The sequence below is a fragment of the Homo sapiens genome, chromosome 18, assembly GCF_000001405.40.
Source record: "Homo sapiens chromosome 18, GRCh38.p14 Primary Assembly".
Classification (NCBI taxonomy): Eukaryota; Metazoa; Chordata; class Mammalia; order Primates; family Hominidae; genus Homo; species Homo sapiens.
Window position 1 is genome coordinate 49,712,969 of NC_000018.10, and position 27,876 is coordinate 49,740,844.

The window sequence follows — 27,876 nt, forward strand, 5'->3', positions numbered from 1 at the left end:
TTGTTATCAGGATGATGCTGGCCTCATAAAATGAGTTAGGGAGGATTCTTTCTTTTTCTATTGATTGGAATCGTTTTAGAAGGAATGGTACCAGCTCCTCTTTATACCTCTGGTAGAATTCGGCTGTAAATCTGTCTGGTCCTGGACATTTTTTGGTTGGTAGGTTATTAATTACTGCCTCAATTTCAGAACTTCTTGTTGGTCTATTCAGGGATTCAACTTCTTCCTGGTTTAGACTTGGGAAGGTGTATGTGTCCAGGAATTTATCCATTTCTTCTAGATTTTCTAGTTTATTTGCATAGAGGTGTTTATATTATTCTCTGATGGTAGTTTGTATTTTTGTGGGATCAGTAGTGATATCCCCTTCATCATTGTTTATTGCATGTATTTTGTTCTTCTGTCTTTTCTTCTTTGTTAGTCTGGCTAGTGGTCTATCAATTTTGTGGATTTTTTTCAAAAAACCTGCTCCTGGATTCATTGATTTTTTGAAAGATTTTTCGTGTCTCTATCTCCTTCTGTTCTGCTCTGATCTTAGTTATTTCTTGTCTTCTGCTAGCTTTTGAATTTGTTTGCTCTTGCTTCTCTATTTCTTTTAATTGTGATGTTAGGGTGTTGATTTTAGATCTTTCCTGTTTTCTCTTGTGGGCATTTAGTGCTATATATTTCCCTCTATATACTGCTTTAAATGTGTCCCAGAGATTGATATGTTGTGTCTTTGTTCTCATTGATTTCAAAGAACATCTTTATTACTGCCTTCATTTCATTATTTACTGAATAGTCATTCAGAAGCAGGTTGTTCAGTTTCCATGTAGTTGTGCGGTTCTGAGTGAGTTTCTTAATCCTGAGTTCTAACTTGATTGCCCTGTGGTCTCAGAGACTGTTTGCTATGATTTCTGTTCTTTTGCATTTGCTAAGGAGTGTTTTACTTCTAATTATGTGGTCAATTTTAGAATAAGTGCAATGAGGTCCTGAGAAGAATGTATATTCTGTTGATTTGGGGTGGAGAGTTCTGTAGATTTCTACTAGGTCCGCTTGGTCCAGAGCTGAGTTCAAGTCCTGAATATCCTTGTTAATTTTCTGTCTGGTTGATCTGTCTAATATTGACAGTGGGGTGTTAAAGTCTCCCACTATTATTGTATGGGAGTCTAAGTGTCTTTGTAGGTCTCTAAGAACTTGCTTTATGAATCTGGGTGCTCCTATATTGGGTGAATATATACTTAGGATAGTTAGCTCTTCTTGTTGCATTGATCCCTTTAACATTACGTAATGGCCTTCTTTGTCTTTTTTGATCTTTGTTGGTTAAAAGTCTTTTGTATCAGATATTATGATTGCAATTCCTGCTTTTTTTTTGCTTTCCATTTGCTTGGTAAATATTCCTCCATCCCTTTATTTTCAGCCTCTGTGTGTCTTTGCATGTAAGATGGGTCTCCTGAATACAGCACACTGATGGGTCTTGACTCTTTATCCAATTTGCCAGTCTGTGTCTTTTAATTGGGGCATTTAGCCCATTTCCATTTAAGGTTAATATTGTTATGTGTCAATTCGATCTGTCATTATGATGCTAGCTGGTTATTTTGCCCGTTAGTTGATGCAGTTTCTTCATAGTGTCAATGGTCTTTACAATTTGGTATGTTTTTGCAGTGGCTGGTATCAGTTTTTCCTCTCCATGTTTAGTGCTTCCTTCAGGAGCTCTTGAAAGGCAGGCCTGGTGGTGACAAAATCTCTCAGCATTTGTTTGTCTGTAAAGGATTTTATTTCTCATTCACTTATGAAGCTTAGTTTGGCTGGATATGAAATTCTGGGTTGAAAATTCTTTTCTTTAAGATGGTTGAATATTGGCCCCCACTCTTTTCTGGCTTCTAGAGTTTCTGCAGAAAGATCTGCTGTTAGTCTGATGGGCTTCCCTTTGTGGGTAACCTGACCTTTCTCTCTGGCTGCCCTTAACGTTTTTCCCTTCATTTCAACCTTGGTGAATCTGACTATTATGTGTCTTGGGTTTGCTCTTCTCAAGGAGTATCTTTGTGGTGTTATCTGTATTTCCTGAATTTGAATATTGGCCTGTCTTGCTAGGTTGGGGAAGTTCTCCTGGGTAATATCCTGAAGAGTGTTTTCCAACTTGGTTCCATTCTCCCCATCACTTTCAGGTACACTAGTCAAACGTAGATTTGGTCTTTTCACATAGTCCCATATTTCTTGGAGGCTTTGTTTGTTCCTTTTTATTCTTTTTTCTCTAATCTTGTCTTCTCGCTTTATTTCATTAAGTGGATCTTCAATCTCTGATATCCTTTCTTCCACTAGATTGATTCAGCTATTGATACTTTTGTATGCTACACATAGTTTTCGCGCCATGGTTTTCAGCTCCATCAGGTCATTTATGTTCTTCTCTAAACTGGTTATTCTAGTTAGCAATTCAACCTTTTTTCAAGGTTCTTAGCTTCCTTGCGTTGGGTTAGAATATGTTCCTTTAGCTCAGAGGAGTTTATTATTACTCAACTTCTGAAGCCTACTTTTGTCAGTTCGTCAAACTCATTCTCCATCCAGTTTTGATCCCTTGCTGGCAAGGAGTTGTTATCCTTTGGAGGAAAAGAGGCATTCTGGTTTTTGGAATTTTCAGCTTTTTGCACTGGTTTCTCCTCATCTTTGTGGATTTATCTACCTTTGGTCTTTGATATTGGTGACCTTTGGATGGGGTCTCCGAGTGGATGTGCTCTTCCTTTCTGTTGTTAGTTTTCCTTCTAACAGTCAGGCCTCTTTGCTGCAGGTCTGCTGGAGTTTGCTGGAGGTCCACTCCAGACCCTGTTTGCCTGGTTATCACCAGTGGAGGCTGCAGAACAGCAAAGACTGCTGACTGTTCTTTCCTCTGGAAGCTTCATCCCAGAGGGGCACCTGCTAGATGCCAGCCAGAGCTCTCCTGTGTGAGGTGTCTGTTGGCCCCCACTGGGAGGTGTCTCCCAGTCAGGATACACGGGGGTCAGGGACTGACTTGAGGAGGTAGTCTGACCCTTAGCAGAGCTCGAACACTGTGCTAGGAGGTCCACTGCTCTCTTCAGAGCCATCAGGCAGGGACATTTAAATCTGCTGAAGCTGAGCCTGCAGCCGCCCCTTCCCCCAGGTGCTCTGTCCCAGTGAGTTGGGAGTTTTATCTATAAGTCCCTGACTGGGGCTGCTGCCTTTTTTTCAGAGATGTGCTTCCCAGAAAGGAGAAATCTGGCAGTCTGGCCACAGCGGCCTTGGTGAGCTGCTGTGGGCTCTGCCCAGTTCGAACTTCCTGGTGGCTTTGTTTACACTGTGAGGATAAAACCACCTACTCAAGCCTCAGCAATGGCGGACACCCCTCCCCACACCAAGCTCAAGTGTTCCAGGTCGATCTCAGACCACTGCTGTGCTGCCAGTGTGAATTTCAAGCCAGTGGATCTTAGTTTGCTCGGCTCTGTGGGGGTAGGACCCACTGAGACAGACTACCTGGCTTTAGCCCCTTTTCCAGGGGAGTGAACTGTTCTGTCTCACTGGCGTTCCAGGCACCACTGAGGTATGGAAAAAAACTCCTGCAGCTAGTTTGGTGTCTGCCCAAATGGCTGCCCAGTTTTGTGCTTGAAACCCAGGGCCCTGGTGGAGTAGGCACCAGGGAGAATCTCCTGGTCTGCGGGTTGCGAAGACCATGGGTAAAGCATATTATTTGGGCCGGAGTTATCGGTTCCTCAGGCTCAGTCCCTCACAGCTTCCCTTGGGAAGGGGAGAAAATTCCCTGACCCCTTGCACTTCCCCGGTGAGGCGATAATCCACCCTGCTTTGGCTCACCCTCTGTGGGCTGCACCAACTGTCCAACCAGTCCCAGTAAGATGAGCCGGTTACCTCAGTTGGAAATGCAGAAACCACCCACCTTCTGCGCCAATCTTGCTGGGAGCTGCAGACGGGAGCTGTTCCTATTCAACCATCTTGCCAGCAATCGAATAATTATTATTCTTTAAATCTGTCTCTTTTTTCTTTTTCTGCGATGGAATTTCACTCTTGTTGCCCAGGCTGGAGTGCAATGGCACAATCTTGGCTCACAGCAACCTCCACCTCCTGGGTTCAAGTGATTCTCCTGCCTCAGCCTCCTGAGTAGCTGGGATTACAGGCATGTGCCACCACACCTGGCTAATTTTGTATTTTTAGTAGAGATGGGGTTTCTCCATGTTTGTCAGGCTGGTCTCGAACTCCCGACCTCAGGTGATCCGCCCGCCTTGGCCTTCTAAAGTGCTGGGATTACAGGCATGAGCCACTGCACCTGGCCTTAAATCTGTCTCATTTCTTTGTATATCTTTCCTACATTTATAATTTTTAAAAATTATCAAAACAGCATAACCATATCACAGAAAGTTAGAAAACTGAGAAAAGAAAAAGAAAACATTCACTCATAATGTCATGATTATAACATCCATTTTGGTGCATTCTCTCCTAGTTTAGTGTCTCTCCTTAGCTAAAGTTGGAGTGAGTGTGAAATATGGGTTCCATTTTTTGTTTTGCTTTTTCTCTTTAACATTGTGTCATGAACATTTTTTCCCATGAAATTCTGTGGTACCCATGGATCATTATAGTGTCTGTTGAATATTGAAGAATGGAATTTCTTTAGAACTGTCCTTTTATGTTTTTGTGTGTATGTATGTGTTTTTTTTTTTTACTTTAAACTTTACTTTTAGCAGAGCTATTCCTTTAAAAAATAATGTTTGCCTTTCTCTCCCCACTCTCAACTTCATATCTCCCATGTAGCTGTTTTTGTCCTGGATTTTGGTACGTAGGTCCCTGGAGAGTCCCCACTTCTTCAGGGCTCTCCTGTAGCTGCCCCACGTGGAAGGCACAACAGTTGCTTCCTAGGCACATGTAACTTATGGGGATTCATATCCAACTTCTGGGATCAGGCCTTTTGCATCATCATGGTAGACAGCACCGGAGGCAGCAAGGCCTGGATCAGTGCAAGCAAGATCTGTGGAATGAACATATGGGTCATTTAAAATGGGTCCTGACAAAGATCTAAAATTGACACCCTAACATCACAATTAAAAGAACTAGAAAAGCAAGAGCAAACACATTCAAAAGCCAGCAGAAGGCAAGAAATAACTAAGATCAGAGCAGAACTGAAGGAAATAGAGACACGAAAAAACCCTTCAAAAAATCAATGAATCCAGGAGCTGGTTTCTTGAAAAGATCAACAAAATTGATAGACCACTAGCAAGACTAATAAAGAAGAAAAGAGAGAAGCATCAAATAGACGCAATAAAAAATGATAAAGGGGATATCACCACCAATCCCACAGAAATACAAACTATCATCAAAGAATACTATAAACACCTCTACGCAAATAAACTAGAAAATCTAGAAGAAATGGATAAATTCCTCGATACATACATCCTCCCAAGACTAAACCAGGAAGAAGCTGAATCTCTTGATAGACCAATAACAGGCTCTGAAATTGAGGCAATAATCAATAGCTTACCAACCAAAAAAAGTCCAGGACCAGATGGATTCACAGCCGAATTCTACCAGAGGTACAAAGAGGAGCTGGTACCATTTCTTCTGAAACTATTCCAATCAATAGAAAAAGAGGGAATCCTCCCTAACTCATTTTATGAGGCCAGCATCATCCTGATACCAAAGCCTGGCAGAGACACAACCAAAAAAGAGAATTTTAGACCAATATCCTTGACGAACATCGATGCAAAAATCCTCAATAAAATACTAGCAAACCGAATCCAGCTGCGCATCAAAAAGCTTATCCACCATGATTAAGTGGGCTTCATCCCTGGGATGCAAGGCTGGTTCAACACATGCAAATCAATAAATGTAATCCAGCATATAAACAGAACCAAAGACAAAAACCACATGATTATCTCGATAGATGCAGAAAAGGCCTTTGACAAAATTCAACAACACTTCATGCTAAAAACTCTCAATAAAATAGGTATTGATGGGACATATCTCAAAATAATAAGAGCTATCTATGACAAACCCACAGCCAATATCATACTGAATGGGCAAAAACTGGAAGCATTCCCTTTGAAAACTGGCACAAGACAGGGATGCCCCCTCTCACCACTCCTATTCAACATAGTGTTGGAAGTTCTGGCCAGGGCAATCAGGCAGGAGAAGGAAAGAAAGGGTATTCAATTAGGAAAAGAGGAAGTCAAATTGTCCCTGTTTGCAGATGAAATGATTGTATATCTAGAAAACCCCATCGTCTCAGCCCAAAATCTCCTCAAGCTGATAGGCAACTTCAGCAAAGTCTTAGGATACAAAATCAATGTACAAAAATCACAAGCATTCTTATACACCAATAACAGACAAACAGAGAGCCAAATCATGAGTGAACTCCCATTCACAATTGCTTCAAAGAGAATAAATTACCTAGGAATCCAACTTACAAGGGATGTGAAGGACCTCTTCAAGGAGAACTGCAAACCACTGCTCAATGAAATAAAAGAGGATACAAACAAATGGAAGAACATTCCATGCTCATGGGTAGGAATAATCAATATCGTGAAAATGGCCATACTGCCCAAGGTAATTTAGAGATTCAATGCCATCCCCATCAAGCTACCAATGACTTTCTTCACAAAATTGGAAAAAACTACTTTAAAGTTCATATGGAACCGAAAAAGAGCCTGCATCGCCAAGTCAATCCTAAGCCAAAAGAACGAAGCTGGAGGCATTACACTACCTGACTTCAAACTATACTACAAGGCTACAGTAACCAAAACAGCATGGTACTGGTACCAAAACAGAGATATAGACCAATGGAACAGAACAGAGCCCTCAGAAATAATGCTGCATATCTACAACCATCTGATCTTTGACAAACCTGACAAAAACAAGCAATGGGGAAAGGATTTCCTATTTAATAAATGGTGCTGGGAAAACTGGCTAGCCATATGTAGAAAGCTGAAACTGGATCCCTTCCTTACACCTTATACAAAAATTCATTCAAGATGGATTAAAGACTTACATGTTAGACCTAAAACCATAAAAACCCTAGAAGAAAACCTAGGCAATACCATTCAGGACATAGGCATGGGCAAGGACTTCATGTCTAAAACACCAAAAGCAATGGCAACAAAAGCAAAAATGGGATCTAATTGACAAATGGGGTCTAATTAAACTAAAGAGCTTCTGTATAGCAAAAACAAAAACTACCATCAGAGTGAACAGGCAACCTACAGAATGGGAGAAAATTTTTGCAATCTACTCATCTGACAAAGGGCTAATATCCAGAATCTACAATGAACTCAAACAAATTTACAAGAAAAAAACAAACAACCCCATCAACAAGTGGGTGCAGGATATGAACAGACACTTCTCAAAAGAAGACATTTATGCAGCCAAAAAACACATGAAAAAATGCTCATCATCACTGGCCATCAGAGAAATGCAAATCAAAACCACAATGAGATACCATCTCACACCAGTTAGAATGGCAATCATTAAAAAGTCAGGAAACAACAGGTGCTGGAGAGGATGTGGAGAAATAGGAACACTTTTACACTGTTGGTGGGACTGTAAACTAGTTCAACCATTGTGGAAGTCAGTGTGGCGATTCCTCAGGGATCTAGAACTAGAAATACCATTTGACCCAGCCATCCCATTACTGGGTATATACCCAAAGGATTATAAATCATGCTGCTATAAAGACACATGCACACATATGTTTATAGCGGCACTATTCACAATAGCAAAGACCTGGAACCAACCTAAATGTCCAACAACGATAGACTGGATGAAGAAAATGTGGCACATATACACCATGGGATACTATGCAGCCATAAAAAATGATGAGTTCATGTCCTTTGTAGGGACATGGATGAAACTGGAAACCATCATTCTCAGCAAACTATCGCAAGGACAAAAAAACCAAACACCGCATGTTCTCACTCATAGGTGGGAATTGAACAATGAGAACACATGGACACAGGAAGGGGAACATCACACACCAGGAACTGTTGTGGGGTGGGAGGCGGGGGGAGGGATAGCATTAGGAGATATACCTAATGCTAAATGACGAGTTAATGGGTGCAGCACACCAACATGGCACATGTATACATATGTAACAAACCTGCACATTGTGCACATGTACCCTAAAACTTAAAGTATAATAATAAAATTTAAAAAAATAAAAAAATAAAATAAAAATCACCCACCACCAAAAAAATAAAATAAAATAAATAAATAAAATAAAATGGGTCCTGACCCATGGCAGAGAGAGTACAGCTCATCTGCAAGTGGCCAGGCAGGTGAGTGATGGTTTTTCATTTCTCGAAGAAGAAATGAAAGAACTGAATTAAGGGTTGTAGAGAAGTCTTAACTAACAATTACAGGAACTAATCCAAAGCTGCATATACAAAACCATGTGTGGTATACTTTTTGGGAAATTTAAGGGATTTTCAAGGGTGATTTTTATTAGTTTGATTTTCTATTTCCATTCTGACTTCAGGACAAGATGCAACTCCATCATTTTCGGGAGTGACCTAAGCCAATCAGGTTGGTCTTTCAGCATTTGCTATGAGCTCTCAGAAGCTTCCAGAAGTGGGAAGTAATAAAGGCACTTTGTCCCCTTCCCCCAATTTCTCCCTGAAGTGGCATGTTACAACAAAAGCAAGTGATGGGGTTTAGGATATGTTACCCCAAAATATAGCCACTTGACATTTGGGAATGCTACAGGAGCAGAACGGTCACTCTCACCTTCTCTTACCCTTTTCCCTTGAAGCAGATCTAAGATCCTCATTCAAGAGGTACCCTCTCTATAAAAGAGCCAAAGACAGAGACACCCAGAAGAATCTGAACAGATAGGCCCTGCTAAGTTCCCCCAGTTTATTACCATTAGATCATACCCTTTTGCCCGCTAATGATACTGCCCCACGACTATCCACTCTTTATCTAACCTAAGCATAAATATACACGTCTACCTGTGTCTTTCAGTTCTCCTTTCTGAAAGCTCCTATGTCACATAAAACATTTATTTAGAAAATCTGTATGCTTTTCTTTTGTTAATCTGTGTTTTGTTATAGGGTCTTTGGTCATGAACCTAGCAATGGGTGAGAAAAAAAGTTATTATTTTCATTCCCTACACAAGTATTAGACCAAATTCTACATGAAAGCAATCAAGTGACCTGTTCTTCCAAAGTCAGGGATGTTCCCACTCACAAACATGCATCAAGTCCCTTGCATCAGATGTACACTCAGAGGGGGTGGAATAATATCATGATGGTGAGTCAGGGGCAGACCGCCCCTGCCCCACCGCCATGAAGTGGCAGACCCAAACCAGATGGATTTCACACTCTAGGCTGCACTCCAGAGGGGCTGGGTTGCTGGGCTGGCTAGCTTCTTAGACCTTGTTTTCATGGGTGGTGGGTATTGTAACATCTTTCTAGCTAACCACGTTGATCAGCATTCATTTCACCAGTGAAAATTTAGAAATTACTTCTATCATCTTGTATGATAATTCTGGAGCCCTGTGACTTAAATTTTGAAATCAAGTGGTTAGTGCTTTAAATGCTAACTAGCCACTCTCGGGATGTTGATTTAAGTCATCTTACAACTAGAAACAACCAAAATGCCCACCTTCGTGAGACTCCATAAGGAAAATTTGGTGCAATCACACAATGGAACAGTGTGCTACTGAAGTAAGCAAATAAGGAAGCTTTCCAGGAACTGGTGGAGAAACACCTGCCCCCACCCCAAGATATAGGGTTCAGGGAAAGATCAAGGTGCAGACATCTGAGGAAATAATTTGCATTCTATGGAGCTGGAGGGAAATAAGGGTTTGCATTTGTATTTGCATTTGTATTTGCTGGACAGATACGCAGGAAACTAGTAAGTTACCTCTGGGGATCAGGGTAGGAAAGAGGATTCGAAATAGGGCCAATAGGGGTAGGAGTAGAAACAAGACTTTTCACTGTAATACAGTTCATATTGTTTTGATGGTTTTACCATGTGAATGTATCACCTATTCTGAGCAAGTAAATGTATAAGCTAATTTCACACAGGTACATCATACTGTTTATACCAAAGCATTTTAAAGTAAATTGCAGCAAAGACAATAAGGCCATGGTGCTCAGCCCTGGCCTTTCTTTAAGGTAGCACTTGCCAAACCATGGGGCCGGAACTGGACATCACAGGATAAACTTACCTTGCTGGGAGACCTGGAAGGGAAACAGGCATAGATATATTCTGAGTAAAATATAGCTTTGCAGGAAAGCCTTCCTGGCTCCCTGTACACAACCAGCCGCTGACCTTCAGTTCTGTGGTGTGGGATGAGCTGTCATCAGGTGTTCTCGGATCCCAATGTTAGGTAAAGGTGGGTCCAATGGGGTTTTTAGACTTTCTACGGCAAATTTCATTTGGTGTCCAAACACCTCTGGGAAATAGGATTATCCCTTTTTGAGACAAGAAGGATCTCAAAGGGCACATAATTTGACGAAAGCAATTTGACTGAAGAACTCCCAGGTCCTCATTTTTATTCTGACACACCATCAGTGGCTAGGCTATGGGAAGAACTTGTTTATTTCTGCATTTAGTTATTTGAGACAAGAGCTATCATTGTTCTACTCTTGACTTTTTGTTTTTGTTTTTTATGTACTGCCAGTTTTCCTAAAGGATTTAAGGGAAGCTTTCACACATTAAAAAAGAAGGTCTGGGAAACACAACAGAGGAGCGAGAACTTGAAATGTGGCTCTACCCTCTCTCACAGCCGTGGCTCAAAGGCAGCCCCCGGGGGTTGCCCCGTCTTGCGGTCACTCTAGGCTTCGTGAGGGCACAGCACAGTGTGGGATGCAGGAGAAGGGCGGGCTGGCAGTGACCACATTTTTGTTTATAAGGAGAGATGGGAAAATTGCCCAGAAGTGGAGAGGTTCTTCCTTTTCCTTAGTAATTTGCAAAGAGAAACTCTGAGCCTTTTCGAGAGTGAGATGTTATCAGAAGGGAGGCGTCAGCGGACAATTGAGCATTGTTCTTTATCGGTGATTTCTCCGTCTGACTCACCTCCTCCCACATTCTCAGTCAACAGTAGTTGTCACCCTGTCAAAGTTGTGGCACCCCAGGACCACCTCTCAGTGCCATTTGCACTCTGATCTCAGTGGCTTCTATTTGTATTGACCTGATGCTCATCTAGGAACCATGATGTGGCATTTTCTTGTTTGATTCTCATCTTAACGGGAGGGAACATCAGAAAGGTGAAAGTGATGATGAGACCTAGCTCCGAGATGGAACCCTTGATTTACCCAGGATTCTGCAATTCTATTTTAAAAGAATACCAAAAGTTGCCTCACCTATATGAAATGTCATGTGTCAGGAAAGAGTGTTTCACAAAAGTTAGGCTACATGCGAAAATTCCAGCATTTTCTGTGCTTAGAACCCAGGTCAGGAAACACTGGTCAGGAGCTCTTCCTGCCCGGCCAGTGTCAGGAAGAGTCTCGGGGTTTGGTTCCATTTCCAGCTCCTTGCTGGCAGGGCCAGGTCTGATTTGCTGCTGTCCCCAATGCCAGGTACAGGCAGGTGTCTTCACAAGCATGCGACCTGTGCCGTGGTGGGCCGCACAAGCAGAAAACCCTGTGCTTGGTTTAATGCTCTGCTGTCACCAGCTTGGAATCCTGAATAATTTTATCTGTAAAATTTTTTTTTACTGTGGTAAAATGTATATAACATAAAATTTACCATTTTAATCATGTTTAAGTGTACAGTTCAGTGGCACCGAGGGACATTCACAATGTTCCACAGCCATCACTGCCATGCATCTCCAGAACTTTTTCATCACCCCAAACAGAAATGCTGTACTTATCAACCAAAAACTCCCCCATCCCCCCTTTCCCCGACCCCTGGTAACTTCTATTTTACCTCTATCTCTGCAACTTTGACTACTCTAGGAGCCTCATATAAGCAGAATCGTACAGTATTAGCCTTTGTGTCTGGCTCATTTCACTTAGCATAATGTCCTTAAGGTTCATCCATGGTGGTGCATGAATCAGAATTTATCATTCTTTTTTGTTTTTTGTTTGTTTGTTTTTTTGAGACGGAGTCTCGCTCTGTAGCCCAAGCTGGAGTGCAGTGGCACGACCTCAGCTCACTGCAAGCTCCGCCTCCCAGGTTCATGCCATTCTCCTGCCTCAGCCTCCTGAGTAGCTGGAACTACAGGCACCCACCACCAAGCCCGGCTAATTTTTTGTGTTTTTAGTAAAGACAGGGTTTCGGGTTTCGCTGTGCTAGCCAGGATGGTCTCAATCTCCTGACCTCGTGGTCCTCCCGCCTCGGCCTCCCAAAGTGCTGGGATTACAGGCGTGAGCCACCGCACCCAGCCTTATTCTTTTTTAATGCTGAATAGCATTCCATCATATGGATAGACTACAGTTAATCTATCCATTCATCTGTCAATAGACATTCAGGTTCCTTCCACCTTGTGGCTATTGTGAATAATGCTGCTATAAACATTGGTGTACAAGTTGCTATTTTTAATTATTTAAAAAAGATTATTTTAAAAATTAGTAGATAAAAACCATTAAAACCCAAGGCTGATGGGAAGAAAATGGCAAAAAAAAAAAAAAAAAAAAAAAAAAAAGGATATTGAATGGTAACATACAGGGAATATCTGTTTCTTCCTTATTCATTTATGTCAACCTTTTCATCCATAACCAGTTATCAGATACCTCATAGATTTAATAATAGCTTTAGGGGTGGAAGGAGAGGAATAAACACCCACTGAATATACCTAGTAAGAACATTTAAAAATAATTAAAGAACATTTAAAAATAATTTGAAAATATTTAAAAAGTATATCTTGGAGCAGGGGTAAGAGGGTTCATTCTACCTTCTCACTTAGCCCACCTTTCCTGGCTCAGTCTCCATCCCCAGGGGTTGGGAATTTGTGACCTGGTACAAGTTCCTGGGGGCCTGACGGGCTGAGTGCCCCCAGGAAGTTTCCAAGGGCCCTGGAAGGTTTATAGGCAAGACACCTTGGGGTCATTTCCTCCCCTCTACCATCTGGCCCCATTTGCTGTACTGAAGTGAATTCCAGTAAGATTAACACCCTTGATAAGGGAAGAGAGATGAAGAGGGAAGAGCTCTTTGACTTGGTCCTGGGAAATACACTTCTGTCTCTTGCCACCCTGGAGGGCCAGCAATAGCTGAGCTGCCAGGGAGTGGGGGTCGGGCTGTAAAGTGAGACTTCCTTCAGTCCCCCACCTCCACTTCCTTATATTAGGAATTTTAACAAAAGGAGGAACATGAAACCAGATAGTAATAATCTATCAGCCTTTCATGTTGTCCTGGGAAATCTGCTTGAGAAGCCACACACAGAGGGTGAGTCACAGGGGTCCAGCCTTGCATTGGCTGGGAGGATCTCCTGATCCCTTGGAAGAAAGCTAGTCCTGCTCCTATTGGAGGGGAGCAGACCCAAAGGCCGCAGCGATTGCCTGGCTCGGTGACGCTGGAACGCATTTCTACCACCGGGGCCTCCCAGCTTCTGCTCAGCTCCTGGCAGGCAGTGTGTGTGGCTTCTCGAAACTGTCTGTGAAGTTTGGAAGAAAGTCCTGACTAGGTTAGGAAAATAAGAAAGACAGTCCATGGCACAGCCAACAAAATCTGTGTATGAGTGTCTGCCCCGTAAAGACAGGCCACGAAGTCTGCACCTGGTTCAAATTATCCGACGCATCCCTCCCAGGGGTGGCAATTCTGATGTGACTGAAAAAGTGTGAAGGCTTCTTAATCCTGCAGAAAAATCACACTTTCCATAGTAACAGCTCATTCCTGGTTTGGATCTTAAGACTTGGGCCTGGCAGGCAGGTCAGTGCTCTGAAATCCTAGAAGGGAAGATTTACCAACTCTCCCATGGTAACTGTCTGGAAACTGACTGGCCACAGTGAGCATGGGCTCCTATCTTCTGGGTCAGGCCTCAGCCAACTCTTTTGCTCCCCTCCATCTCTGTGGGCCACCTCTCTCTGTTTCCCATGGACACGTCTTTTCCATTTTCTGGAAGCATATTTGAGAAAAAGAATCAAGAAATTATCGCTTTTTTTTTTTTTTGAGATGGAGTCTCACTCTTTTTGCCCAGGCTGGAGTGCAGTGGCGCAATCTCAGCTCACTGCAACCTCTGCCTCCGAGGTTCAAGCAATTCTCCTGCCTCAGCCTCCCGAGTAGCTAGGATTATAAGCAAGTACTACCATGCCCGGCTATTTTTTTGTATTTTTTAGTAGAGACAGGGTTTCACCATGTTGGCCAGCAGGCTGGTCTCAAACTCCTGACTTCAAGTGATCCTCCTGCCTGGGCCTCCCAAAGTGCTGGGATTACAGGTGTGAGCCACCAAGCCCAGCCGAGAAGTTTTCTCTAGCTCTGCGTGCAATGCATTCTGGGCAATATAGATCTGTTATAAGGACTTGGTGAAAGGGGGTCGGGTAGGGAGACACAATGTCCTAAAATGTAGGAGCTGGAACAATAAGAGCTGGCATTTAAAAAAAAAAAGTTTTCATAAACACCAGCCTTGGTGCCTCATTTCATTTACTCCTTACCACAAATGACTGGAGGTAGTTTCCTGATTTTATAGGTGAAGGCCGGTTAAGTAACTTGTCCCTGTCCACTTGTGTTGTAAGTGGCAGCACTGACATTCGACTCAACCCCATCTCAGCCCAGGGCCCATGTTCTATCACTAAGCTACCCACAAAAGGACTTTGGAGAGCACCTTGCTTAGAGCTCTCATTTATCCAATGCAGTGGAGGCTCCGGGGTCCCAAGGGACTCCCTCAAAGTCATGTAATTAGCTAATGAAAAAGTTGGGATGAGAAGCCAGATGCCCTGTCTCCTGCGCCAGGGTAACATGGTTGAAAGAGCTTGTGACTGTGCCCTTAGAGTCGGGGTGACCTCAGGCAAGCTGATGATCACTGAGCTGCCAAGTCGCCATCCGTAGAACCAGCATGGAAGAGACCTACCTCGTAGTTTGCAGTGAGGGTTAGATGCAAGAGTCGACGCAAAGCTCCCAGTGTTGAACCTGGTGCTTGTTGGAGATTTAACACAGTTACTATTATTTACTCTGGCAATGGTACCATCCTATTTCACTCACACAGTTTCTCCTTGTTTGCTAAGATAATAACTAAGTCTGTTTCCTCGGCTGGACAGGGGCGGAACTGGGCACAGGGCAGGCCCCTGCCGACCCTTACAGATCAGCAGAAAGAACCTCTTACTTGGCCCATGGTTTGGAGTAATAATCAAAATCCGTGCTTGGGATCCAAGAACTGGGCTGAGCCCTGGGCTGGAGCCGACCTACCATGAGGGAGATGACAATACAGTGACCAATGTCCCAGTTTACACAGGACTGAGGGGTTTCCCGGGACGTGGGCCTTTCGGTCCTCAAACCAGAACATTTCTGGAAATGGCTGGCCACATGACAGCAGCAAGTCGGGGCCAGGGTGAATACCCTTGGGCCTCGGTAGTGCGAGGAGTGGCTTCCAGAAGAGAGTTTGGGGCATCCCAGTGGCAGTGTCTGGGGCCACCCTGGAGAGTTATTTCCTGGTAAAGGTGAAGGGCTTTGGAGCAATGAAGGAATTCCTGGGAAAAGAAGCCCATGGGCCTTAAACTCCTGTGGGGCAGGGAAGCCAGGCCGCTCTTGGGCCCCTAGAGCACTGAGTTCTGATATTGAGGGTCCCAGGATTGGGGTGCTGCAGAGACTTGGGTGAACAATGTCATGAAGAGGGGGAGGCCAAATGGCCTCCACTGGGCCTTTGGTGGCAACATTCTCCTCTCAGCATAGATTCTGGGAAAGGTGAGGCTTTCTGGCGCCCCCTAGGGCCCAAAGGCTGGAGCAAGCCCGATGGGGAAAAGGCACTGCAGTTGCTCTGGGCCTTGGATGAGACTTCCTCTCATGGGCCTCCATTCCCCTATCTGTGAGACGCCTAAATTACTCAGGGACACATCTAGCTGAGACAGTGGGTGAGGCAAAGCAAAGACATTGATACTACTTTCTCTCTTTTTTTCTTTTTCTTCTTTTTTTTTTGAGATGGAGTCTTGCTTTGTCACCCAGGCTGGAGTGCAGTGGCTTGATCTCGGCTCACTGCAACCTCTGCCTCCTGGGTTGAAGCAATTCTCCTGCCTTAGCCTCCAGAGTAGCTGGGACTACAGGTGTGTGCCACCACACCTGGCTAATTTTTAGATGAGGTTTCACCGTGTTAGCCAGGATGGTCTCTATCTCCTGAGCTTGTGATCCACCTGCCTTGGCCTCCCAAAGTGCTGGGATTATAGGCATGAACCAACACACCCAGCTCACTTTCTCTTTAAACTCCGTAAGAACTGCCCCATTTCATTAAAAAAAAAAAAAAAAAAAAAAAAAAAGCCAGGTACAGTGGCTCATTCCCATAATCCTAGCTCCTAGCACTTTGGGAGGCCAGGGTGGGCAGATCACCTGAGGTCGGGAGTTCAAGACCATCCTGGCCAACATGGCGAAGCCCCGTCTCTACTAAAAATACAAAACTTAGCCAGGCATGGTGGTGCGTGTCTGTAATCCCAGCTACTTGGGAGGCTGAGGCAGGAGAATGGCTTGAATCTGGGAGGCAGAGATTGCAGTGAGCTGAGATCGTGCCACGGCCCTCCAGCCTGGATGACAGAGTGAAACTCCATCTCAAGAAAAAAAAGGGAGCAAATGGCTCATGATCATGGCCCAAGATCATGAAATCTTTGTCAGTCTGTGCAATTCAGGAACGCAGGGCAGAAAATAGTCTTGATCTGTCCTCTCTCGCCCTCAATGAGCACAATTTCCAGCTGCTTCCCTAGTGGTTTGGCAAAATAGAGCAGTCAGAAGTTTAGGAGTCCAGCTTTCAGTCTTGGCTGTGCCTGTTCCTGTTCCCAAGTGTCCTTTTCACATGTCTGAGCCTATGTCCCCATCTGTGAAGGGTGGGGGCGTGGGGCATTCCTATTTTGATTCTGTCAGAGGGTGTTGCAAGAAGCAAATATGAAAGGGCTTTGAAAAAGATAAAGTTCCACTCATACTTAAAGGATTATTGTTTACTTAATTCCTTGAAAGAAAATCACAGTGGGAACTTCCTCAGGCCCTGGAGGGTTGAGTTTTCTGGGGATAATTTCAATTTATCTGATGGGGGTTCTACACATGCCTGGCTGGTGGGGGACCCACATCTGGGAGACATACTCGCTCAGCTGCATCTCACTGTTATGTGAACGGGCCAAGTGTGGCCTCAGTGGCTTGGCCTAACATGTTCCTGTCTTGTTCATTTATTCACAGCAGGCTAGGACCATTAGCCCAAAGCCAGCCAGTGCTAAACTCAAATTCTTACATATCCAATTGCTTGGAATATCATCCAAATAAACATACAGATGGTCCCTGACTTACAATGGTTCAGTTAAAAATGTTTCAGCTCTACAATGGTGTAAAAGCACTGTGCATTCGGTACGCTCTCTGACCTTCCATGGGGTTAGACATTTTCAGCTTATGATGGGCTTGTCAGGAGGCAGCCCCATCGTAAGTTGGGGAGCATCTGTATTTCTGGCCATTTAGAGCCTACCTATTTTGCATATTCCAACATCTGCTGACCATGGATAAGACAAACCCTGTGGCTGTGAAGGACTCCACATCGCTGCTGCCCTTCAGAGCTCTTGGACCCAGGGACTCCCCACCTTGTGGAGGGACATCACCCGGACAACTCCCCTTTCTTCCCCAGGAGCTCCCCAACCCTAGCCCTACTCCCCTTCTGGGTGGTGGTCTTGCCTGCCAGCTGCAGAAGGCCCCTTGCCGGGAGGGACACACCGTCTCCTTCCACACTGTCCAAGTGCCACCGAATATAGCTTGTTGCATGTTGCTGCCTCCCATGGTCTGGTGTCTTCCTGGATCAAACCTGACATTCTCAAACTTATTGCACTCCCTCTGTCTGCTCCTTAGTCAAAAAAATCTCAGACAATTTTCCAGTGGCTCAGTGTAGGTGCTGTGTAAATAAAGCCTCCTTCACCTGGAAATTCTCCTGCGTGAGGCTGTGCTCCTCAGGGCCCGAGGCCTTTGGGATGGGCAGTGACTCCTGGAATCCAGAGGGACAGAAACCCAAATGCAAATGCCCAGGCTCCAGGCTCAGGTGACATCTGTGGTCAGACACCTGCGGCTGGAGGTGGGAATGGCCAGAGGAGCTGCTGGGGCAAAGGTAGGAACTAGGGCAGACAGGCCTTCAGGGTGCTGTTGCTGGAAGGGTGGAGCTTGGCAAGTAATCTTTCCAAGAGAGATCACTGGAGAGGGTCCCACAGAGATAAGGAGATCGAAGTCTGGGAAGCTGTGTGAAGTGACTTGCCCTGTTCACATGCTAATTACGGGCAGAGCTGGGGTGCCTGATAATGACTCTTGAACCACAGTCCCCTGCTTAAACTTGCAGGGGGCCCATTTGTACCAGAGAGTGAGTCACATGATTTGCCATGAGCACAGTACTTGCAGACTGGCCATCATCTTTATCTTACAGCTGTAAAATCAGAATATCCCATTCCCCTGGCTGCTGTGATTGGTTCCGGGTGGAAAGTATTTCAGCAGAGCTGGTGATAATCAATGCCACTTTTCCTGTACTTACTGAGAGTAAGGCACATGGTCTTTCTAGCTATGCACAAACCTGGACAGTGAGGGCCTGGACCTGCCATGCAACTCTTGCCCCACATAGAGACAGAGAATAAAGACAGCCCAGAGAATAAACACAGGAGACACAGACTGAATCCTGGTAATATTGTTTGAGCTCACAGATCAAGCTTCACCTGAAGTTCTCCCGGGACTTTTTAGTCATGAGAAATTCTTTTCATATAACGAATTTGAGTCAGATTTTCTCTCTTTGTAGCTTTGGCACTGGGGTGCCAAATCGGCCATCCCCCGGTAGTTATTTTCCACTCCTATTCTTCAGCCATGGTTCTTTTGATCGTCATGGTCATCTAATGCATCTCTTGCCAGATCCCAAAGTTCAGCCTAGTTGAATAAATATTTATTGAATTTCTACTGTATACCAAGCCCTGTGTTATGTTGTGCGAGAGAAAGATTATTAGGACATAGTTCCTGCTTTCAAGGAATTTACAGACTCAGAACATGTTATTAAGTGAACCATAAGACACAGTGATATGTGTACTTATGCAAGTCCATGCAAGGCCCAGAAACATACCTAGGAAGAAGGAATTCAGTCTGGGGAGGTGAGGGAGCTATGAAGGGGAGGGGACACTGGAGCAGGCTTCTGAATGATGAGAGTGAGGCTGGAGGCAAGACACTACTGAGCAATGACTGCTTTCCCCCAGCCTTTGTTGACCTTGCTTAGGTGACTGGCTGTTTGGCTTCCTTCGCCACAGGCTAGTTCTTGCCTGTGCACAGTGGCTCCTGTAGAGAAGCTTGAATCAGTTCCTCAGGGGATGAGCTCAGGGCCATTTGGCCATATAGGCCACCCTGGGTTTTTTAACTTGGAGAAGAGCTGAGTATTCTAAAATGCATATTTTTGGGCTTTGGCATTTGTGTTTATATACCTAAGGATTTCTATATGGAGAATAAGAAAGTATTACGTCTACTTTGTCGGGCTCAGAAAACTGAGATAGGACCAGATATGGGGAGACTTCATTAGACCCTTGATATGACCCTGGCTGAGCTGCTCAGCCTCCCTCCTGCATTCCTGCCCACCCAGCCCTGCAGCCCCTGATGCCTGGGCATTACTAAACTGTTTGCTATTCTTGGAACACATTAACCCTCTCCTCCTCCATGTCTCTGCAATGCTGCTCTCTCTCCCAGGAAGGCCTCCATTTTTTCTTTTTCCTTTTTTTTTTTTAAACAGGATCTTGCTCTGTTGCCTAGGTTGGAGTGCAGTAGTGTTATGATGGCTCACCACAGCCTCGACCTCCCAGGCTCAGGTGATCCTCCTCCCACCTCAGCCTCCCAAGTATCTGGGACTACAGGTGCACACCACCATGCCCAGCTAATTTTTTGTATGTTTTTGTAGAGATGGGGTTTCACCATGTTGCTCAGGCTGGTCTCAAACACCTGAGCTCAAGCGATCCACCCACCTCAGCCTCCCAAAGTGCTGGCATCACAGGCATGAGCCACCACACCCTGCCAGGCCTCCTCCTTGTCACCGTCACCGTGACTTCTTGTTCTCACACTTCACATAGAGGGCTACTTCTTCTGGAACCTTTTGCTCCTTCCTGGGAGACCTATGTATTCCTCCTCTTATGTTCTCACAATCCTTCATACAGTCTGTGGAGGAAAGGGGGAAGAGGGGACCTAATGACAAGAAAGTGTAAAATTGAGAAAATAGGAGGCTCTGCAGGGCCAAGCCCAGGGACACTCTGTCAGACCGAATAGTCCATTCCCCTCCCATCAGTCAACAGTGCTCAGCACTTTGCCCATTGAGGGTTCTGTTTAGAATGACATCATTTGTCCCTAGAGATGCTATCAAGGCCCTTCTGGAAGGGCCTAGCCCAAGTGGACAACCCCTGCTCAACCACCCAAACCACTCATAAGCTACCTGCTACCCCAACATCACAGTCATTATTTGATTGTGTTGTTATTGGCGGCACAGATGTCTCCTCTCTGAATTGTAAGTTCCTTGGGGCTAACTTATAGCTTATAGAGTTATTCAGCAGGCATTCAATAAATAGATGTTGAATGAGTCAGTGAGTTAGTGTGGAGAAGGAATACATTAACCCTTCCCATGGATGGAGAATGGTGATCAAAGAAGAAATTAATAATAACCAAAAACCTGGGCTCTTATCAATGTAACTATGGGCAGGTGCTCTGACCTTTGGAAGCCTTTTCTTTCTGAGGATGAGGATGGTGGGCCCTTGAGCTCAGGCTGCAAAATGTTGACCCTAAGAGCACCGACCTTTCTTACAATGGCAGGTTTTTCCAAGTGCAATCTGCTGCCTCCAGAAATGCTCTCTTAGACTGGTAACTTCCTGTTGGAACCCTGCATGGGGTGGAGAACCAGGTTCCCCTCCCCGCATCCCCTTTGTAACGCAAAGGTTTTTCTTGTCGACTTGCCCACAGTCTCACCACTGGTTAAGATGGAGTTGAACATCCCAACAAGTTCTCTTTCTACAAGACCATGTTGCCCCATCACAATACCTGAAAATCTGCAACCATTTGAAATATGCCAAGAGTACTCCACAGACTCCACTTTGCAGTCACCAGCCAAAATGCCAAGCATAGCTAGAGGAGATAAAGGGATGTCAATCAATCTTGTTGAAGATGTAAAACCAGGAAAGGGACTGGAGGCACTTCATGACACCCATTTTGGGTCAGAAGAAGAAGTGAGAGAGAAACTGGGAAATGGAAATAAAGGAAAGGGAGAGTTTGAAAGAGCTTATTATTAGAAACCAGACGGGTGAACTCTGGGGTCAGTTTCCTTCCCAGTAGCTTTTCTTGAGCCCTTCCCAGTGACAAGGTGTGGTTTTTGGCGAGGAGGCTTTCTTGGCTGTGGCACGAAAAGAAGGGATGCTGGGCTAGCAGTTTTCTGGGTCTTGGGGTTTCAAAGTCGAGAGGGCAGAAGGTTATCCTTTTGAGCTTGTGGTCGTGCACAGCTGACATCTGATGAATTGAAGCATCCAAGAGGCTTACCCTTCACCCCATGGTTGAGCCCAGAGCTATTCTCAAGAATGAGAGGAACCAGAGAAGACTTCAGTGTCAGCTGTCCAGGCCAAAGAGTTAGGAGTTTAGTTTTCTTGGTTCTGTCACTCCAAGACATTCTGGCTACAGCAACATTGTTGAAGGTGTGTCTCTGAGGTTACATATTAGAGCATCATGTGGAAAATTTAAACATATTTCTTTAAGATTTCATGAAGCAGACACTGATAATTGGCTACCCCTAAAGGCTCTCTCAACCCCAATCTCCCTTGCCATTTCTCACCATCAATGCAAGAATTGTTAAATATTTACTCCCATAGTCTTCCTCGCAGATAGGAACATGAGTCTTCCATGCAGATAGCCACATGATCCTGTTCTAACCATGAGATAGAAGCAGAAGTTGAAAGTTTTTAGAAACCTTATGCTTTCATGATGAATGAAACTGAGAGGACCAACTTGGGATTTTTCCTTCCTCCTCCCGTGTGCTATAAATACAAACATGATGGCCAGAACAGAGGCAGCCCTCGTGGTAACTATGAGGGAAAGCCAAGAAAATCACAGTGACATCTGTCCGAACATGACTGACCCATTGAATCCAGGCCAGCAACTTTCTCTCTCAGAGCTTCTTGTCTTTTTTAAAAAACTCAACATTTGAAGGTATTATCATTAAGTTTTCTGGCTTTTTTTTTTTTTTTTTGCTGCTGAGCGCAATCATAATTGATACCCAGAAAGTCTCAGTACCTTTAATATGCTAATGTGTATTTTGAATCTCCAAGAGGTGAAGAGAACATGCACCAATTCCAAACTTGTATGACTCAGATACCATTTTAAAAAAAATAATTGTTATGGGATTAGTGTTTCAGGTACACCCCTTGGGAAACTCTGCGTTAGGGGATCACAAGCCTGGTGTGATGGATGGACACTATTGGGGGGCGCCCATGTTCATGCCCTGGATAATCCCTTCCTTTGGAGTGTAAGACCTGTCACTTGCTTCTAACCATTAGAATATGGCAAAGTAGATGGGATGCCACCCCCACGATTATGTCACAAGATACAGAGAGGGAAAGAGAACAAGATATACATACGTAATACATATAGGTAGTTCCATCTTGCTAGCATGTGCTAGACAGAATCTCCTACTGGTCTTGAAGCAGTAAATTGCACCGCTGTAAACTGCCTATGGAGAGGGCCACACAGCCAGAAACTGTGTGCCCTTTAGGAGCTGAGGGCTTCAGTCATACAGCTGCAAGAACTGAATTCTACCAACAACCACAGGAGCTTCGAAGGGACCACAACTTCAGGTGAAACCACCACAGCACCGACCAACAGGGCAATTGAATTGCAGCCCCATGAGATCCTGAGCAGAATTAAGCTGTACTCAGAGTTCTGATCCATGGAAGCTAGGAGATAATCAATGTGTGTGTTGTTTTAAACACTAAGTTTGTGGTCATTGTTACACAGCAATAGAAAACTAGTATACCCAGGAAAGGGCCGGCTCTCAATGCAATGCTGTGGCTTGTAGGTCAGCTGTTATACGGGGTTTGGGACTGATGAAGTTCAGCCTTTCTCCTATAGTTCATCTGCTTTCCTTCTAGCACATTGTCCTCAAACACAGCTGCCCTAACCTAGCAAACTCTTTCACATCGAAAACCCTCAATAAATGAAACAGCTCCAAATACAGGCCATTCTGCCATGAGTTTTGTCACCTCCTGTTGGTCTTTGAGTCTTTAGAAATACGAAGTTGCCTTGTACAGAGGGTTCATTCCATGTTCCAGCTACTTGGAGAGAAATTGTCTTCCCTGGGGGGCTTGGACATTATTCTTGGAGACTATTTTGCCCCTCAGATTAGAGAAGCTGGTTTCCTGGTATTTTGGTTATTTATCATTCTTTCCTGTTCTCATTTGAGATTCAAAATATATGCCTTCCTGCGAAACTTCCAGAAGAGGAATTGATGGGTGAGAGTAGCAAAGAGGCTTTGTGGGGTCCTTTTCACAGGGGTATTTCCAAACTTTTTCTAGTAAAAAAATAAAAAGAGTCCATTTACCTGAGTTTTTAATATTTTGTCTTTTGCTCCAAATATTAAAGTCTGTGGCTTCAGACATCTATTTAGCAGATGCGTGTTTGCTACTTACTCGGTTATTCCTTTCATTAACTTTTTCTAGACTCCCGTTTCACCTGAGGCACAGAAGCTTTCCTTTGTTCACCGTTGCCAGCAGTTATTGGACTGTGGCTGGGATTACCTGTCAGAATTCACAGGTGAGCTCCACTCTGCACAGGGCCATGAGACCCTCCTGCCCAATCCACCCCGGATCCCCTCCATCTGTTCACACTCATCTGTCTTCTTTTCTATCAAGTCACAGACGGAAGATTTGTCTACAAAGAAATTTAAAACTGCAGCATAGTGTTTTTTTTAAAAACAAACAAAACAAGACTATCATTAAAATCAGAGTGGAGAGACCAGCCACAAAGATTTTGCAAAATTCTACAAAAAGAAAAAAAAAAGACAAAGGGTTAATATTCCTGTTATAAAATGTGCACTTACTTTTCAGTAAGAACTAAATGGTCACATTGAAAAATGGGGAGGACATGACTGTGTAAATCTGAGAGAAGAAATATAATTGCCCAAGAACTATGAAAAGATAATGATATTCCAACTTACATTAATCAGCGAAATGCACATTTTATTTAAATTTAAATTTTACATTGTATTGGAACAGTTTTAGATTGGCAAAGAATAAACAGAGTGATAAAACCAAGTGTAGGAAAGGTTTAGAAAATATGAGCGATTTCACATCCTGCTGTTAGGACTGTAAATGGATACAACACATTAGGAAGCCGTGAAATTGTACCTGTGTTCAGTACCGCCGCTGATGCAGATCTTGGTGTTTTTTGTTTGTTTGTTTGCTTTTTGTTTTTTGAGACAGAGTCTCACTCTGTTGCCCAGGCTGGAGTGCAATGGCACGATCTTGGCTCACTGCAACCTCTGCTTCCCAGGTTCAAGCAATTCTCCTGCCTCAGCCTCATGAGTACCTGGGACTATAGGTGCGCACCACTGCACCAGGCTAATTTTTGTATTTTTAGTAGAGACGGGGTTTCACCATGTTGGCCAGGCTGGTCTCGAACTCCTGACCTCAGGTGATCCTCCCACCTCAGCATCCCAAAGTGCTGGGATTACAGACATGCGTTAGCACCACCGGCCCCACTGATGCAGATCTTTTATTTCTTCAGATTGAGATGTATCCACCACATATTGCTGAACAGAAAACATCCTAAACAACAAGATTCTAGTTATCTAAAACTCACACCATATGCATATAAAGTTGCATACTATGTATGGTTAAATCTCTAAAACATACAAAGAGAAGTGTTCATGAGGATGGTCTCAGTAGCTCTTTCTGGCTCGTGGGATTTGGGGGTGTCTGGTTCTCACCTCCCAAGTTTGAGAGACCGGCCTGTTCCCATCCATCTCTAGTTCAGTGACAATAGCCCACAGCCTTTCCACTTCCACTTCTGGTGTCCAGCTGACCTGCATTCTCTGGGCACGTTCACTATGGGAAAAAAAGATTGGGTAGTGAGGCCATTCACAAGAAGCAAAGAAAACTTGGGTCTATTGAGAGAAGAGAAAAAAACATTCATTTTATTTTAAAATTTGTATATATTTTAAAGACATCTTAAAAAATAACATCTAGGCTGTTGCCCAGGCTGGAGTGCTGTGGTGCAATTTTGGCTCATTGCAGCCTCTGTCTCCTGGGTTCAAGTGACTCTCCTGCCTCAGCCTCCCAAGTAGCTGGGACTACAGGCATGCACCACCACACCTGGCTAATTTTTGTATTTTTGGTGAAGAGGGGGTTTCACCATGTTGGCCAGGCTGGTCTTGAACTCCTGACCTCAAGTGATCCACCCACCTTGGTCTCCCAAAGTGCTGGGATTACAGGAGTGAGCCACTGTGCCTGGCCGCTAATTTTGTTTTTTTATTTTTTTGTAGAGATGGCATCTCTCTATATTGCCCAGGCTGGTCTCAAGCTCCTGGCCTCAAGTGATCCTCCCACCTTGACTTCCCAAAATGCTGAGATTACAGGCATGAGCCACTGCACCTGGCCTCATTTATTTTAAGATCAAAGAAAAACCTTCAAAAGCAGGAGAAGCTTCCTGGACTAGACTGCCCTAAGAAGATGAAGGATTGTTGCCTATGTGGATTTTTAATCTTTTTTTTTTTTTTTTCTGGAACATTTGTCTCTATATCCCATATCCTTATATTGAGCAAGAATCTTTTAAAATTTATTTGAGAATGAAAGCTTCACCTATACAACTCAGCCAAACCGCAGTAAGTTCTCTACCAGATGGTGCCCTCCCGCGCCCGCCCCCCTAACACAACCAGGATCCAGATGGGCAGTGGTCTGGGGCACAGAGCAAGCACTGGAGCCCTGGGAACTGGGGGTGGGGGGTGGGGTTTCCTCAGCTTTCCCTTCTGTTTTCTTGGAAACAACTGGGCTTATTTAAACTGCCTGGATGGAAATTTTTATGAAGAACAAAAATGAGAATTTAGAGAATCAGTTTGAGGTTTTGTTCTCTTGGACTCCATATTCACTATAAGGGGAAACCCAAAAAGAAAAAAAAGCCTTGAGTTTTCTCTGGAGAGGGTGACAACTGATACTCTAAGTTCCTTTCTTCTGCTTAGGGGCTGAAAACCCCACAGTCCAGGCAGACCAGAGTGAAGTTGGTGGTAGGAACTCCGGTGACCTGAAGGAGCGACCTTGATCCAGGCAGACCCAGGAGTGCCACCTCAAACTCTGGTTTTTAAAAGAAAATAGAGGTGGAATTTTTTATGTCAAATCTTCTGATATGTAAACATGGGTGACTAATTGAAATATGTAAAAGATGCTGTTCGAATGAACTGGAGCCAGGAGAAACCCTAGATCATCTTGCTGAGTCTGTCATTTTGGAGCTAGGAGTCTGAGGTCCAGAGGAAGAACGACTTGCCAAGATGATGCCAGAAGTGAGACCAGAGCCTACACCTGCTGACTCATGGTGGGGTTCTATTAATTGGCATCAACTGATGGCTTTTTCAAACAACTAAAAAATATTTAGGTTAGTTCTCTCTCTCTCTCCCTCTTTCCCTCTTTTCTTTCAATTATTTATGCATTCAAGTATATCTCTTTTTTATTCTTTTCTAGACAATTTTAATTTTGAATTCCTCTCATGTAGAAGTTACTTAGGAGATTGTTTCTTAATTCTAAGTAGTGAAGACTTTTTAAGTATGCTTTTGTGATAAATTTTAATTGTATAGGCTGAGGCTCAGGACATTTAGCTTGTGTATCTCCACTTTTATATTTTATAGATTTTCTTTAGAGCCAAATATGAGATCAATTTTTACAAAGATTCTGAGGACAAAATAAAATGATGTTTATTTTTCATTGGTAAGACACTGAATTCTACGTATGTACGAAATCAAGCTCGTTAATTGTAATATTGAGATTCTCTATGTCGTTTATTTTTGTTTTACTAGATCTCCGAAATTCAGAAGTAATTAAGCCCAGGAGGGCGAGACTGCAGTGAGCTGTGATTGAGCCGCTGCACTCCAGCCTGGGTGACAGAGCAAGACCCTGTCTCAGAAAATAAATAAATAAATAAAATTCAAAAGTAGGCATATCTAAAGTATTTTACTACAGTATATGTGTGGGGGTATGTGTGTGCGTGCGTATACTTTAAGTTCTTCTTATATTGCAGTAGTTTTTGTTTTATGTATAACTATGCTATTTGGAATATCAAAATTTATAGCTGTTATATTTTTTCCAATATGTACATTTTACCATACCATAATGTCTCTCATAACTCCAATGAATGCTTCTGACTTTAAATTCTACTTCGCCTGATGTTAGTAGATCTGTCTATTCCTGCTTTCCTTCTAAGCATATCTGTTTGGTATCTCTTTGTCCATCGCTTTATTTTCTTTAAGTGTGTGATTATTTTAATATAACTAATATGATATATTTTATGTGTAAAATATATTATATTTTATATATTATATTTATATAATACATATATAAAATATTTATATATTTACGTATGTGTAATATAATTTAATATAATACACATACTAATTATAAAGAAATTAAGAAATACAGAAAAGTGTGAAGAAGAAAGCAACGAATTACCAAAAATTATACAACCTAAAAATAATTGGTTATAACATTTGACTGACATCTTTCCAGACGTCTCTCTATGCATAGAAAGAAAGAAGGATCTAGAGAAAGACAGAGATGGAGGCAGAGAGAGAGAGAGACAGAGTAGACGCTGAAACAG

General features: G+C 43.6%; 1 long non-coding RNA gene across 2 annotated transcripts in view, besides 3 other annotated features; it reads left to right on the forward strand.

The window, feature by feature from the left end:
* The window catches only part of LOC105372112 (uncharacterized), a 127,792-nt gene extending 100,277 nt beyond the window's left edge, over positions 1-27,515 (forward strand). For both annotated transcript variants that reach the window (XR_007066363.1, XR_007066364.1), the window contains exons 4-5: positions 23,736-23,829; positions 25,559-27,515. This is a non-coding gene — a long non-coding RNA (uncharacterized LOC105372112). The remainder of the gene's footprint in view (positions 1-23,735; positions 23,830-25,558) is intronic.
* Positions 10,362-11,561: an enhancer, noted in NCBI's record as "CDK7 strongly-dependent group 2 enhancer chr18:47249700-47250899 (GRCh37/hg19 assembly coordinates)". NCBI's record gives its function as "activates an origin of replication core promoter dependent on BRD2, BRD4, P300/CBP, MED14 and CDK7 cofactors, with strong dependence on CDK7, by STARR-seq in HCT116 cells {active_cell/tissue: HCT116}" and the evidence as "EXISTENCE:reporter gene assay evidence [ECO:0000049][PMID:35650434]".
* Positions 12,817-13,562: an enhancer, noted in NCBI's record as "H3K27ac-H3K4me1 hESC enhancer chr18:47252155-47252900 (GRCh37/hg19 assembly coordinates)". NCBI's record gives its function as "activates a minimal SCP1, AML or CMV promoter by ChIP-STARR-seq in naive and primed H9 embryonic stem cells {active_cell/tissue: H9 hESC(naive and primed)}" and the evidence as "EXISTENCE:reporter gene assay evidence [ECO:0000049][PMID:30033119]".
* Positions 13,563-14,306: an enhancer, noted in NCBI's record as "H3K27ac-H3K4me1 hESC enhancer chr18:47252901-47253644 (GRCh37/hg19 assembly coordinates)". NCBI's record gives its function as "activates a minimal SCP1, AML or CMV promoter by ChIP-STARR-seq in primed H9 embryonic stem cells {active_cell/tissue: H9 hESC(primed)}" and the evidence as "EXISTENCE:reporter gene assay evidence [ECO:0000049][PMID:30033119]".
* Positions 27,516-27,876: the final 361 nt, after the last annotated feature.